This window comes from Homo sapiens, chromosome 7 (genome assembly GCF_000001405.40).
Source record: "Homo sapiens chromosome 7, GRCh38.p14 Primary Assembly".
Lineage (NCBI taxonomy): Eukaryota > Metazoa > Chordata > Mammalia > Primates > Hominidae > Homo > Homo sapiens.
This window is the reverse complement of record NC_000007.14, coordinates 116,012,443-116,028,722: the sequence shown is the minus strand read 5'-3', so window position 1 is coordinate 116,028,722 and position 16,280 is coordinate 116,012,443. Positions and strand designations below refer to the sequence as shown.

The 16,280-nt window shown below is 36.2% G+C and overlaps 1 protein-coding gene across 17 annotated transcripts in view; it reads left to right on the top strand.

Moving 5' to 3' along the window:
- The window catches only part of TFEC (transcription factor EC), a 224,745-nt gene that overhangs the window by 131,174 nt on the left and 77,291 nt on the right, over positions 1-16,280 (top strand). Inside the window, exon 2 of one of the 17 annotated variants that reach the window (XM_047420055.1) lies at positions 14,772-14,942. The exons of 15 other annotated variants lie outside the window; for them this stretch is intronic. In XM_047420055.1, the coding sequence (XP_047276011.1) occupies positions 14,919-14,942 (24 nt within the window). In that variant the 5' untranslated portion in view covers positions 14,772-14,918. Of the gene's footprint in view, positions 1-2,936; positions 3,107-14,771; positions 14,943-16,280 lie in introns of all 17 variants that reach the window. One more of the 17 variants, XM_017011875.2, reaches the window with a different exon arrangement.

Here is a 16,280-nt window from a genome sequence, read left to right as displayed (position 1 = left end):
CAAATAAAGCTATCAGATGTCAATTAGACATTCCAGATTCTTCATGGAGATGAAAGCTCTTACAGTAAAAAATACTGGATTATGATATGGAGTGATAGCAGATCCAGAAAGGTGGTGTTTACAAATAGGTTGCTATTTTGAACTATTTGTCAACAAAATAAAACACATGCATAGTGCAAAGCATGGTTCCTGCACAGATTTTACTGGGGGTGTTTACTAAGAAGAGTCTGGGAGGCATAGAGCAGTAGGAATGACAATCATCCCCAAAGTCATAACCTACGAAGAGAGAGGTTAACAGTAGTCTTGTAGGAAAAGAAAAACAGCAAGAAACTAATTTACGCAAATATTCCTTATTATATAGAATTGTGAATGCCAGCTAATTAGAGAAATCTGTAGAATTGTGTTGTGGGTGTTTGGAGATTTATAAAAATTTGGTGGACAATACTTTGCCTATGAGAGCTTAGCTGATGATAGATGGTTTTGTGATTCCATTAAATTGTATTTATTGGAGCATAAAAAGTCTTGGCCATTTACACACCAATAAATAAAGAAGAACAGGAGAATATTAGAGGTAGTTTATGTTAAATGTTAGGAGAATTGGGAGAATTCGTATAATTGAAAAAGTGAAATAGTAAGATAGAGATGTAGAATCTCCTCAGGTGACCAGGTTTAAGAATGAATTGGTCAAGGCGAGAAAGCCCTTGTTCCCAGTTTTTCAGTTGCTCTCAGGAAATAGAGGGAAGTTGAGCCTAATGATCTTAAAGACCCGTTAGGTTTCTGTTTCTCTTTTCTCTTTTCAGGTTTGAAAGAATAGGTGAGAATTTGAAAATCGATCTAAAAAAAGGAATTGAAAGGAGAGTCTAGGACGTAGAGGTGGAGTTTTAATAAGGATTCTCATGCCTCCTAATGTTCATTCCTAAGAGTTACCATGGAAGAGTATTTTCAAATTGTCTCTCTTCTTGAAACATGCTTTCTCAGTTTGCCACTGAGCCAGAGACTTCTTTTATACCTCCCTTTATTCCCTTCTTTATTCTTTCTTGCACAAACATGTTTCCAATGCTCAGCTTCCTTAGATGTATTTCCACCCAAGTAAGAATGTGAGCCTGCACATTTAAAAAATTTTTTTGAGACAGGGTCTCACTCTGTCACCCAGGCTTCAGTGTAGTGGCTTGATCAGGACCCACTGCAGCCTCGACCTCCCGGGCTCAAAAGAGCCTCCCGCCTCAACCCCCCAGAGTAGCTGGTACTACAGGCATGCACCATAATATCCAGCTAATTTCTTTTTATTTTTTTGTATTTTTTTGTAGAGATGGGGGGTCTCGCCATGTTGCCCAGGCTGGTCTCAAACCCCTGGACTCAAGTGGTTGCCTCAGCCTCTCAAAATGCTGGGATTACAGGCATGAGCAACCACACCCTGCCAAGCCTAGACTTCCTATCTGTTCAATCAAATATTTGGCTATATCTTGTTTTCCACTTGCAGCACTCATTCTATGCGGCATCTTTCCTCACGCTCCCAAAATCTAGACCAGTACCTACCGTATTATTGACAATCTGTCTATAGACAGGTATTTATCCCTGCCAATGTCTGCAGAGAACTTCTCAGGGGCTAATATGTTAACACTCTGTTCCCTTTGACCCTGTGTAGACTCAAATGGATTTGAACCTACTGAACTATCTGAGGTCTGCAATAGAAAGTTTGTCAGCAACATTTTCACCCCCAGCCTTTAAATTCTGGTAAAATTCTAGGCTTCTTCTTAATTAACATTTGGCTAAGAGGCATCTGATATTTTAGTAATACTCTCTAGTGTTTCTCCCCACTTAGCCAATCACTTTTCCTCTTCTACAGCTTATGATTGTCCTTCACATGTGCAAGGCAATTTTTATGTGATGGATGATCTGCTCTTTTCATCAGAATTGCACCTACTGTTAAAGATTTTTCTGTAGACATATTCAACCTTCTTTACTTTGTCATTGCTTTCAAATGTTAAAACATCTATTGCTTTTGTTGCAAACAACCATTTTTCTCTATTAACCCTTCTAATAGTGTTTGAAAAGCTCTGAGCATATCCACTCTTACAGTAGGAATAAGCCAGTGGATGAATCTGCCCAGTGACATGACTGATGACACCATTTTCTGGAGAAGGAAGAGAATATGTGATTTTACCTCGTTCAGTAATTTAATTAATATCTATGTAAGGTTAGTTAAGATGGAGGTGTACAAGTAGAGGAGGAGTGTACCTGGTGCGGTACTAGGTTCTGAGGATGCTAAGATGGATAAGGTATGCTACCTGCCAGTGAGCAGTTCAGGCATTTCAACAATTAATTACAGAGACAAATGTTACAATGAAAGTATATATGAATTATCTGCCAATCTGGAAAGGGTTCAAAGAGAAGATGGGTGAAGCATATCTTTAAAATGAATTAGCTATTCTTTAGGCAGGCGAAGGCATTGGGCCAAAAGGTCCAGTGGATCGAAAGACTAGCATGTGCAGAGTTGTGAAAAGCATGGCATATTCAGGGGTCTTTGATTAGAAGTGGAACCATTGTGTGAAATAACATGAAGTGGGGCTGAAGAGTTAAGGTGGGGGCAGACCATGAACAGCTATGCTTTTAAGAGTTGTTGGGTTTACCCAGAGAAGGAGCTTGATTTGATTATGTTTTAGCATATTTTGATTATGTTTAGTTTTATGTTCTCCAGCTCTGGCCATTTGGAAGACACATTAGAGGGTGAAAGACTGGAGTTATTAGTTTTAAATTTTTGTTGATAGAGTGTTTCTGTATCCGATTTAAGAGAGCAAAAATGACTGTATGTGGTGACTATGGGTAATACCTTCAAAATAGTTGTACCTTTGGCAAGAAGAGAGAGGCTGAAAAGATGGTAGAATGTACTTCATGAGAAAATTGAAGGTGATGTACTACTACATTTTTTACTGCAGCAATTCTCTCTTAAACTGAACATGGATTAGCAAACCAGTGGACTGAGCAAATATTTACAAGTGATCCAGTGATTTCTTTATGGTTGCTTGGTTTGATAGAACACACTGTGAAATGGGAAGTCAGAAGTTCAGCATTTTTAGCTTGCTACCAACTTGACATGTGACTATGAGTAAGTCTGTCTGTCTGTGTGTGTGTATTTCCTGAAGATTTCACATTGAATTAATATCTAGTGTGGAGAGTGAAAGGCTGGGGCTGGGCCTGAGGGTGAAGGTTGAAGTGTCTGGTGGTGCTTAAATCTAGGTCTCTTGTACCTGAAGAGCAGCTCTGAATTTGCTCCTGAGAAATCAAACTTGGGTTGGATTTAGGAGCTCTAAGATTGGAAATCTAGTTCAGAGTGCAAAGGAAGGACCTCTCTCCTTTTTCCTTTGAGGCCCTTCATCCCACATTTCTGAAAGATTTTCAGAGTACAGAACATAACAATGGGCCAATGTCTCATACATCTGGTCTTGTTTTCCTTAATATTCTCTCCTATTCAAACAGCCTCAGGGAAGCCTGCCTTAGGACAGAGCTTTTTAGAACAAAATGAAATAGAGGAAAAAGCAGCTCCTTGCATAATTTGAGAAGTAACTGTTAATTTGCCTTTTCTTCACAGGACATCTCTAGTGTTCCATATTTTCTCAAAATGTATTGCCAATTCATTTGCATCTCCATTTGTTTTTATATGAAACACTGGTTATACCGAGCTGTCTCTAAATTCACTTGGATTCAGGCCTAATGGACCACACTTAGTGAGATATATGACAGCTGATGAACAGTTGCTTAAGGGGTGTTTGTCTAAAGATGAAACAAACAAAACCATAGCAGCAACAACAACAACAACAAAAGAGCAAGCAAAGATATTCTGGAATATGATAGGAGATGGAAAAAATGTATAAAATAAATGGATAAGCTAAAACAAAATAGCAAGCAAAGATATTCTGGAATATGATAGGAGATGGAAATAATGTATAAAATAAATGGATAAGCTAAAACATGAAGTACTCTTCTTAACAGGGGGATAAAAGTGAGACCCTGAATGCTGAATATTCTTGCTTGAGTAGCAGTCATTTTAGAAGAGTTGTATTGAGTATCAAAACAGTATATTTTATGAAATATTCTCCTCTTCTTTGAAACAGGTGGTAATAGGAAACATTGATTGGGCTCTCCTTATGTACTAACGGCTTTACATGTATCATCTAATTTTTGTCTGACAAGACTCTTGGGGCAAGTAATGTTGTCTCCAGTGTTCAGAAAAGAAAACTGAGATTTGTGAAGGATAGGTAAATTTCCCAAGGTGAAAGCTGAACAGTGAGCAATGATTGGCCAAAGACTTAGATCTAGGTCTGGATGCTGTTTAGGCCCAGATGGATTATACAGTCTTTTCTAGGACCCTTTTAAATTTAAACTTTGTCTTTGTTGTTCTCTTTCATTCATTTTGAACAACCTCGCCTCTCCATAGGAGAGAAAGGGAAACAGTTCAAGGGAGAAGGGTAGAAGAAAATCAGAAATCACGGTTTTGCTAAAAATGGTTTCTAGGCTTACACATGGATAATGAGGCCTTTGACTGTATTAGATTTGCAAAAATAGTAGTTGTAGAGGTAACATGGGACCAGAAAAGATGGCTCTATTTCATAAAAGAAAGGGGCAAAGTGAAGGGACTCATTAATGTCGAAGCAGTAGATGGATAACCAGTGACAAATATCAAGTAGATTTGCTTCAGTTTGGTCAGAGAAAGGTCATTGATTATTTTTGGTTAAACTGGTTCACAGAGGCCAGGTCTCCACTAAAAAAGGGAATTAATTGCTTCCATTTCCCACTAATTGCCTCAATATTTCCCTTTGCTTTGTCATTGGAGATTTGGTCAGAGAGGCGAAAAGTCAAAAGTCAGAGTGTGATGGAATCTACATAAAAAGGGAATCTGAGGAGACCAAATTATGGCATTTGGTGTAATAATGATAATGATATTTAGCATTTTTCCCTGGGAGTGCTGTGGATTTTTAGAGCCCTTTTCAATCTTTAATCAGACCATAGGGCACATTTAAAAGAGTTCACTGTTTTTATTTCCATCTAGAGGATATGGCATCACAGAGAGATGAACTGACCTAGGGCAAGTCTCTTGAGATGTTCATGCTGTATGTTAGATTACACCCTCTGAGGGTGAGTTTTAGCGGGAAGCCTAAGTTCTTTCCAGAGGTTCAATTCATTCATGCTCCTTCAGAGTCTTTAGTTTTTTTGCACAATATTGTAAAAGAGTTCTATCTCTATCAATGACCAAAAAATCACCGAAGAAAACACTATGAAATCAGTTTGATATCACAATAGTTTCTCAGTTTTCAGGATACTAACTGGTGCTTGGACCATTTTCAAGTAACAAGACATTCTATCTTTATTTGCTGAATTAATCAGTCTTTGAATTCTTGTATACCTCTAAGTACTTTGGAATACATGAGTCTTATCTTTCAGATATTTTGTTTTATTGTTTTGAAATCCAAAGTGGCACTGCAGAAAGTGGAAATAAGATTGGTTTCTGGATGTGATAGATAAGTATTGAATCATTCTAGTTCTTTTGATTTACTTACAATAACTTCAGAGGCCTAATAGACAAGTGTCTCTCTTTAGGAAGTCATGAACTTACAATATAAACCACTCTTTTTTTTTTTTTTGCTGGAAGAACCAGAAATTTGTTATTGTTAATTAGCTATTTGTTATATTACGGGCTCTTAATAGATTTTAAAGCAAGCTGGTTACATTTTAATTTTAAAACCAGCTCTGCCATAATCAGCTGTTTGATCACAGACAGGTCATATAATTTGATTGAAACTCAGTATCTTCATTTGTAAACCTGATCTACCTCACGGGGTTTCATGGTTATTAAATGAGAAAGGGAGGGTAAAACGTATAGTTCAATGCCTGTATAGAATGGTAACCTGGCAACTTTAGCCTTTATGCTTTTTAGTGCTGCTTTTAAATAAATTATGAAGATATTAAAGATAAAACTATTAATTAAAGCAAAACTTAAACATAAGAGACCTGTAAAAAAGAAGTCGAATACATTACAAAATACTATATTTGAACAAGATGCTCTCATAGTTATGGTGAACTTGAACTGGGCCATGCCTCTACATAGCTAGTGTTCCTTACCCTGCCCTGTTGAAAATATTTTACTAACATTTAATCACTTAGTAATCAAAATAACTCTGAGAATTGAGTTGTTTAATTTTATTCATTATAAAGATAAGGCTACTTGACATCCAAGGAAGGAAATATGTGGCTCCAAGGCATATAGCTTGTCAGTGGGAGCCCAGGTTTGAAACTAGGTGGGCTAATTCCAAAATCTGCAATCTTAAATGCTGCTCAAACAATGCTTTTTAACATGCATTAGACTGCATTTCAAGGTTGTCATTTGTGAAAGCTGAGAAATTACATTGCCCTCACCCTCATTTTTAAATTAAGGGGATTCTTAAAATTTCTCTTTCTCTTGACAAAAATGGCTGTTTAAGAATGGAAAACCGCTGCCAACAATGGCATCAATGTCATCAAACCCTCCACTGAGTTCTAAGTGTCTTTTTATAAATCTCCAAAAATATGGTGAGCCCATTCCCTTATCTCTCCCTTGTTAGAGGACACATGTCTCAGACCTCTAACCAGGACATGTCAAGAGGTGGGCACGCGGGTACTTCCACAGTGCTTTTCTCCTGGCCACCCCTTCCCCTTGTGCCTTTCATAGCTCTCAGGCAGGGCCGATAAGCCTGTTCTCCCCAGTGCTGAATCTGAGGACCAACTCTGGGGGGAGCCCTTATTGTCAAACTAGTTGCTCACAACTTTCTTGACTTGTTTCTCTTAAACAATATGACTTAATAAAGCTCCCTTCAAATATATAAACAGAGCACACCTACTAAAACAGGAAGAGCTAAAACTGTATACATTGGAAACCTGGTTTGACTGTTCTGATGAACTTGACTGCTCAAGTCAGTCAAAAAGTAATTACCAGTTAAGAAAACCATTTTGACAGATTTTGGCCCACTGACTGCTTATTTGACTGGCTTGCCTGTCAGGTTGAAGTGGTCAGATTGACTGGAGACAGTTTAACTGGAAAATTTAACTTTGGAGGACGTGGGTGTCTGTATACCAGAATCTACTTTAAATAACTGTATTTGAAATCTATACCTATTTTCTTGGGACCAGTGAGAGAAGTCTGAAAGTGACACATTGCAGCTTTGACTTTCTGGAGTGAGATGTCTCATTGCTTGCTAGAGCTGACAATGTATTTATAGGCTACAACACCATCACATTTTTCCCCTGTGCATATACAGAGTTCAAGAAGTTTGAAACTCTACCCTGTTGTGGCCAAGTCCTAATAAGGCATTATCCTCTTACTCTTCTGAAGCACTGATAATAGATTTATAACAGCAAATGACTTCTCAGATATTGGGTTACCAATTCAGTCATTTGTAACTTGTGGTAAGCAAAGTCGACCTTGCCTTTAATGGTAGTGCTTTTTAAGAAGAAGCTATGAAAGAAAACAAAAACAAATCCCAAACAAAACCTTTTATGAGAGGAAAGAGAATTTGGTTGGAATTATTATTTGCATGGCTTTTTAAAAGGAAATGCTTTTATATATCAATTCTTATGTTCCTTTAGAAAATGTACTTTCATATAAGTTCCCAGGTTTGGGCAAGACAAAAATAACACCATAAGGATGGAAGGAATGATTTATTCTCACATTATAGTGTTGGATTTTATGAGGAGAACATAATGAGGTTATTGTCTGTTGTAAGCACATTTTTATAAAGTCTGTTTTATGTTGGCTGAATATTCTAATGTATTCATATTGAGAGTTTGAAAGATCCTGTTATTGTTTGAGAGTCTTATTCATGTGCTGCTCCTTAATTTGCCTAAAATTTTAACTTTTCCTGTGAATATGTTTTCTAAATGTTCAGGACTTAGATGCTATCTCCTGTACTTAAAAAAAAAAATCCAATGGTACGATTAGATAGATTTTAGGGCTACAGTGTCAATAACAACTTTAAAATAATGACACTTTTCTTAAAATTGCTAAGCAGTAATATTTTCTCTTAGAGTCACTTTACGTATTCTATTTAAAATTTTTGCTGTGTGATTACGACAAGGAAAGGAAACATGTTAGCTTTGCTTTGCAGGTTTATGCTTTCTAATTATATTATGATTGTTTTTAGCAAAGAAGCCCTTTGACCTGAATAAAAGAGAGAACTAAATCGAATCCCACAGTTTAAAGAATGCTATAGGGAGACCACTAGGGTATATATTTAAATTTTATGTGTTATTTACATTATAGAATCATTATTAATAATGTTTCAGCGATCATCTTGTTGCTTCAAATCTTTTACACATTCAGAACTATTTTCTTTAGCTATAAAAATGTACTGTCCAAATTTATCTCCCTACCAGCAACTCACAGAGCCTATTGGATTGCTCCCTCCTCTGCACAAGGTATTCTCATTTAGAAAAAAAATGTTAATTTGGAAAGCAAAAGCTTTGTTTTCATAATTACTAAGTGATTAGGAACAAAGACTCAGTAGTGAGTAGTGAGTGTGGATTTGAATTATCGTTTTGCTTCAGAAGTCCTTAACCTATCCTCTGGCCCCACTTTCTCAGGCATTATGTAGTATGTAGAGAATAAGGTGGCTCACCTCACTGGCTTGCTGTGAGGATTAAATGAAGCAAGGCAGGCAGAGCTCTAAATAACATGCCTGACACATAGCAAACTTTCAGTAATTATTAGCAATTCATGCTATTATTATTAATATATTTTTAAAATTGAAGAGTTCACCAGAATAGAAGTAGACTTGGTTTGATTTTTAGATTAAGCAAGTTATTGAAGTTAGCACACAAGTTGCTTAATCTCTCTGAGCCTTAGTTAGCTCATCAATAAAATGCATCAAATAAGGAATTCTAATCATAAGGGATCAGATAAGAGATTATAGAAGGGATTAGATAAGCCAGTGGTTAAGAAAGTGCTCTGTAAATAGCAAAATACTGTATGGGTGTCTTATTTGTTCTTTTCACTGTTCTCTTTGGATTCTATTCCACTTGTCTGCTTGTTTCATAATCTTGGGGCTGTGTAGCAAAATATTCAGTTTCAATAATAGAGAACACTCACATAAATTGTGTCACCAGTGGTGAAAATTATTAAATGATGGAAACATTTAGAAACCAAATTATCTGTGCAATACATCACTGATTTTTTATTTAGTCTGATGAAAACATTGCGCTTAAAGTTAAGAAGATGGCTGCCATTTTGTCATTGTAAGATAGTGTGTAAGCCTTAAGAAAGAGGACTAAAACCATGTTGGATGCTGCAACCTTTGGGAATAATTTCCCATTGAGAACAGGAAGTATGGTTGGTAGACAAGTTTACCAATAAATCTTTTGTGATAGAATATACAAGCACGGACACTTATGAGAATGTTGAGTCATTCCTTTAGAGAATTAGTGAGCAATTGAAGGGAAAGATGAAATTGTTGTAAAAGTTAACAAGGGTAGATTGAGGGGTGCCTTGTTTCCTAGGCCCAGGAGCTTTCAGAGTGATCCAGTGTTTTTGGCTGGACCATAGCTCTCAGTCTTCCAGCTCTCTTGCTCTCTCTCTCTCTATACATTCTCTTTGGTCTGATGGAGTCTCCTAATCCATTGGCTATTTTTTTTTCCTCACTCTTTGGCCTGCCCATTGCTCCCTTCCACATCCAGCCTTTACCTTTTCTTGTGATGATTAAATCAGTTCTTATAATTAGAGTCACTTCTGGCCCTGTTGTTCTGCTTTACCTAACCATCCATGACCAGTGCAGCCTATCAGCTCAGCCTCCAGGCTGCTGTGGTGGAAGATAGTCCCACAACAACTTGCAGATTCTTGCTTTTACAAACCAGTGAGTGGTCTTCCATCTCAGTTGGGGCCTCTACCTTATCCAGCTGGCATTGTTTTAGCCCATTATCTTCCATTCCATTTGGTATATTTGGTACATTTCACTTCTCTCATTCAACCTCATACTTCATCATTTCTCCCCATACACTCAATAGACGAATTTGCCTATGACTTTATTGGGAAAATCTAATAAAAACTTAAAATCTTCAACTTCCTCCCCAGAAATCTAAAATGTCCTTATGAGCCTCAGCTCTATTTTTTCTCCTCTTTCACAGAAGTAGAATGATCTTCCCAAAGCTAGATTCCTTGTGTTAGGTCTCACTTACACCTGTTTTTTCAGTCACTTACTTAATTAGTCACCCTTTCTTGCTTGTATCTTCTACTTCAATCCAATAACATGTTAGCCTGTGCATATAAAGTTGGTAAAGCTTCTCCATTTATAAACACACACACTCACATACATCCATTAACCCTGGAGCCATCTGTAATAACTGAAGTCCCCAAAATTTCTCTTTCTGATTATGATCAGGCATTCTGAAATCTTTAAAGCAGATGAAGAGTATGAACTCTGGAATCAGACTTCCTGCATTCAAATTCTGGCTCTGCTAGCTATGGGTCCTTTGGCATATTACTTAACTTCTCTTTATCTTAGTAAACTCATCACTGAACCAGGATAGTAATAGTTCCTAGCTCATAGGGCTGTTGGGGAGATTAAAAGATTAATACATGTAAAACATGTGCAATAGGTCTTGACATCTATAAGCATTTAATATGTGGTAGTTATTAATACTATATTATTATTATTGGCTTTTTTCCTCATTCACTGATTTGTTCATTTAATTAATATTTATTAAGAACCTAATATTTGCCCAACACTGGATGTCCAATAATAAATAAAGAGAGACAAATTGCTTGTCCTAAAGCAGCTTAGAATGTAGTCAGTAGGACAGGTAATACATAAAAAAATGAATAACTAATTACAAAATGCCAATACTATGAGAGTTCAGAAACAAAAATATATTAGGGAAGGACCTATTTAAACAGTGGTTAGAAGACATTGTAACCTGTTCCTGAAAAGAGAGAAGCCATGCTTTTGTAGAACCCAAGAAAGAGCATTCCAGGCAGTAGGGAAAAGCATAAATGGAAGCTGTATTGGGGGATAGTGTTTGTCTTATTGCAGTAACTGTAAAAGTCCAGTATGGCTAGACCACAGTAGGCATAGGAGAGAGAGAGTGGTATGGGAAGAAGTTGGATAGATAGTTGGGTGATCACCTATTCAACACGAAGGTCATGGTACGGAAGCTGGATTTCATTCTAGATAAAATGGAAAGTGCCGGGTGTGGTGGCTCATGCCTGTAATCCCAGCACTTTGGGAGGCCAAGATGGACAGATCACCAGGTCAGGAGTTCGAGACCAGCCGGCCAATATGGGGAAACTCCATCTCTACGAAAAATACAAAAATTAGCCAGCTGCGGTGGTGTGTGTGCCTATAGTCCCAGCTACTCAGGAGGCTGAGGCAGGAGAATCACTTGAACCCGGGAGGCAGAGGTTGCAGTGAGTGGAGATCGTGCCACTGCACTCCAGCCTGGGTGACAGAGCGAGACTCTGTCTAAATAAACAAACAAAAAAACATGGAAAGCAATTGAAAGATTTTAGATGGGAGAACAGGTGATCCATTCTGTGATTTTAAAAGTACATTTTGAAGGCTGTAAGAAGAATGATTGGAGAGGGTTGGAGGAAACTGGAAGATTAGTAATGAAGGATTCACAGTATGCAATGATGGTGGCTTGGACTAGAGCTCTGGTAGCAGAGGCAAGGATGGTTCTATTTGAGACATAGTTGCAGGTTAGAGTGGATGGTGGAGTTGTATGTTGGGGGTAAGGAAAATGAAGGAATAAAGGAAGACTAGTTTCTGAATTGGACAAGACTAAGGAGTAGCAGGTTTTAGGAGAAATAATAAGTGCTTGGGACATATAAATTTTAAATATTGAGATGTTTGTGATTATATAGAGAGATAGGTAGATATAGTACATAGTAGTATATAATACAGATAGTATATCGTATATAAAGCTGGGTGTCCTATATAAGATATGCTATGTACATATAGAATATTATATACTGTATGCATATACTATAACTATATATATCCAATATACTATATATTATATATACTACGTAGCTGGGCCTCCTAGAAAAAAATGTGAAAATTCCAGAGCAGAAACATAACTTTGGAATTTATGTTATATTAGCATGTACATAGTATTTTATCTGTGGGAATAGGGCGTGTCATTCACATGGAAAGTGAATAGAGGGAGGAGGAGGTGCTTAGTGCTGTACCTGTGGCACCCCCAATTCACTGTTCAAGTCACTGCATGTGAGCTTCCATCCTCACACAGAGATAGGGAACAGAAATGCAAATTTGGGAGTCATTAGCATATAGCTGGTATTTAAAACCATGAGCACTGATGAGATCCTCTATGGGAAGAATGTGGAGAGAGAGAAGAAGGTGCCTAGTCTGAGCCCTGAGGTCTCCTCACTGACAGTTCACAAAGTTCCTCCAATCCCTGCAGGCTGATTTCTGTTCTTGCCAAGTCCCTGAACTAATTCTCCTGAGGCTTGCCAGTGACCCAGTTATTTCTCAGTCTGCTGGGGATATCTTCTGCTCCTTCTCTTCCCTCATCCCTGAGGCATTTGATTTTGTTAACCACTTTTTTCTTGAAACTCTATCCTACATTAGCTTTGTGATGGTGTTCTGTCTTGACTTTCCTTGTGTAATACTTTTTTGAGATTCTTTTAGTCTCTCTTACCCCTTGGATATTGATGCTCCTCAAGTCCTTTACTTAACATTCTGTCCTTCTAAATCTAATTCTTCATCCTGAGTGACTTTATCTAAAACCCTGATGCAGTGGCTTCTAAACTGGCCACCACGTTTGTGTCTCTAAATCTGCACATCTTAGCTGTGAACTAGACCTTCCCCTTACATGTTCCACAGGCTCTCATTTCATTAAGCCCAATGCTGAATTCTTCTTCTTTCCTTCAACATTTTGCTTTCACTTCTATTCCTTATTTTGGTGCCATCTTCTTCACTATTTCCCATTTCATCTGAATGCATAATATGTGAATCTTCCTTTCCCTTCATCGTGGTGTATAAATCAATCAGAAGTCTTATACACATTTTCCTTTAATTCCTATATATTATCGGTAATATTTGGCTCACGAGTCTTCTTTTTTCTTTTTTTCGTCCTTTTACCCAGTAAGGTCTTTCAATAACTCCCCCTTTATATTATTGCCTGAGGGATATTTCTGAAATGCTAATTGATCACATTATTATCCTACTAAAAGCCTCAAGTGTGTCATCGGGGCTGTAAGAACAAAGCTTAGGGTAGTGCTTGTACTTCCTTATGGATAGCTTCTGCTTTCTTTTCTATTGTAATTTGTTCTCATCTACACTTTCTTCAGATCATGCTGAGAAAGAAAGGGAGAAAAAGAGAGAACTTTTTTCCTTTATAACTTCTACTATTAGAGCATTTAATAACATTGAGGGATTGATTAAAGGCATTAGATTTAGGAAACTGACCTTTGTCAGAATTTTCCTCAAGTTACTTCAGTTATGATGGGGAAATACCATGGCACCAGCATTTCCAGGAAACGTGTTTGATAGAAACCATCAGCAAAATTTCAGGTGCTATAAGAATGAGAAAATAAAACTCAGAATTATATAATTCTAATAATTTATAATTATATTATAAATATAATATTGATAATGATATATAAGTATATATTAGTTTTCTATTGCTGCTGTAACAAAATTACCACAAACTCAGTGGTTAAAACAACACAAATTTATTATCTTACAGTTCTAGAGAATAGAAGTTTGAAATGAGTTTCACTGGGCTAAAATCAAAGTATCAGGAGGGTTTAGATCCTTGTTGGAGGCTCTAGAGAAATATGTGCTTGCCTGCGTTTTCCAGCATCTAGAGGCTGCCCACACTGATTCAGTGTTCCACATCACTCTGATACCTACTTCCACAGTCACACCTTCTGTTTGATTCTGGTCCTCCTGTCACCATCTTATAAGAACCCTTGAGATTATATTAGGCCATGCACGATAATCCAGGATAATCTATCCATCTCAAGGTCTGCAACTTAATAACACATACAAAACTCCTTGTATAATGTAAATTTACTTATCCACAGGTTCTAGGGTAAGATGTGGACATCTTTGGTGGGGAGGTATTATTTTGCCTGCTACAGAGAAATTGCAAGTAACTGGAAAAAAGATTAAAAAGGCTAAAACAAATATACTTTCAAAAATATTTTTGTTTTAATTTGTAAATTTTCAATGAATTTTTTTTCTTTTTTAAAGTTGGTTTGTAAGCTCAAATTAGTATGGAAAACAGAATTTTGGGTCCTCCTCTATGAAGTTACAGTAAAACATTTTCCATATATTCCAAAGCTACATTATCTAGTATTTTTATTTTCTCTGTATCTCTCAAAAGTATTTGACACAGAGGAAAAATCGTACAAAGAAATTTTGTGTCATTTTAGTTCTTTCCAACATTTTATATGCACTTATTCATTTCTTAAAATTATCTCTCAAAAAATAGCATAATCATGATATTTATGCAGGATAAGCCAAGCTGAAAATAATATTATTTTCTGCCTCCTGCTCCCTCTCTCCTTTTTCATTCTTCTTTCTTGTGAAAGGGAATTAGAGGTTTTTCAGGAAATCAAACATTAAGATAACAGTAAAGATGATCTCAAGAAACTAAAATTTCTCCTGGAGAAGAAGGCTGGGTCTGTTCAGTGTATATTTATTACATAATCTAGGGACTAAAGTGGAAGAAAGCACCTAAAAGAAATAAAACACTCATCTAAAGTTAATATTTTCTGATGGTAGATTTCAATTGTAACATTGTCCTGTACTGTATGAAGAACCTAGATCTTGCAGCATATGGTGATTACAAAACAAAGTGAAACACAAGACACAACAAAAAGTAATGAGTGACTATGTCAAGTTCCACCTATATTTGGAAAGCAACTCCAAATGATTTTTCTACCAGAAAGTGAGGTCAGTTGATTCATATTTGTTTGTTTATATAGAACACATTTTTTTCCCCTAGTAATGAGGACTGGATTTAAATTTCATTATACTTATTAACTGATAATAAGTAACTTACAGTTGAAAGAATACCCTATTACAATCAAAATACATGCAATTTAGTTCACTTGTTGCTTGTGTGATTGTGAACAAGTCTGATAATTCATCTGAGGTCCAGTATTTTTTAATAGATGAAATGGAAGTACAAGTTAAGTCACTGGAATGCTCACCTCATGACTGTGGCTATTGTTTTGCATTCTGAAGCTTTCAGTTAGTCCATGAGGTCCTGTGATCAGTCTTCTCAATGAATTGCTCCTCCATTTTAATGTTCTTTTTATAACTATAAATAATTTAAATCAAAAGTGTGCTTCTTTAATTCCAAAGAACATTGTTGTTTAGTTACAAGGGGAAAATGCAGCTATGACAACCATGTAACTGAACACCTTTCCTACACAGAAGCACAGTACTTGAGGAATTTGATTGATGTAGATGCCAAAATAACAGGTGCATTTAAAACACAAAAATTCAAGAATAATTGCATTTATTAGTTAAGTAAAACAAAGACAAGGTATATTTTACCTTTTACTCAGAAATACTGGTTTTATCTACCAAAATTGAGTGATAGAAATGTACTTAGGAAAGAAACCCATTTTCTGCAGTTTGTCAATCAAAATGAATAATCTAAAAGTCTCATTTTCAATTAGATTATTTTAATATTTAACTACCTAAAATGCCCCAATCATATTCTTTAGAAAATGGTTAGACTAGAATACTGCAGTTCTAATCATGACATTTTATTATGATAAAAATGACTTCATTAATTGATGATCATATATCAACCCATAAAATAAGGATATAAAAAGTTTTCCAGCCTAAGATAGTATAAGACCATTTGAATTGTTTGGGTTTTTTTTTTTTTTTTTTCCAGAAATAAATCTTTATAATCCTTTTATTCTTATGAAAATGTATAAGTTTCTTTGTTATAAATTCAACTATATTTTCTAGCCAATGAATTCATTTTTTAATATCTGAATAGGCTGAGAATACATTGATATTCCATATCCAGCATTAGGATATAATACAACAATAAATATACTGTATTTGCAACAGAATTTTATAAGAGATGGCAAACACTATAGTAAGTTTTGGGTTTTTATCCCAGATGTTCCCATTTATGGCTTTAGATCTATTTTACAGCATGTAGATTTTTTTAAAAAGTGCATTGATGACTTTCCAGATATTTGAAATATGACCTTTTAAAGAAATCAGTCTTGTTTCTCCTTTATTCTCTGCATCCTTGAAAGAACA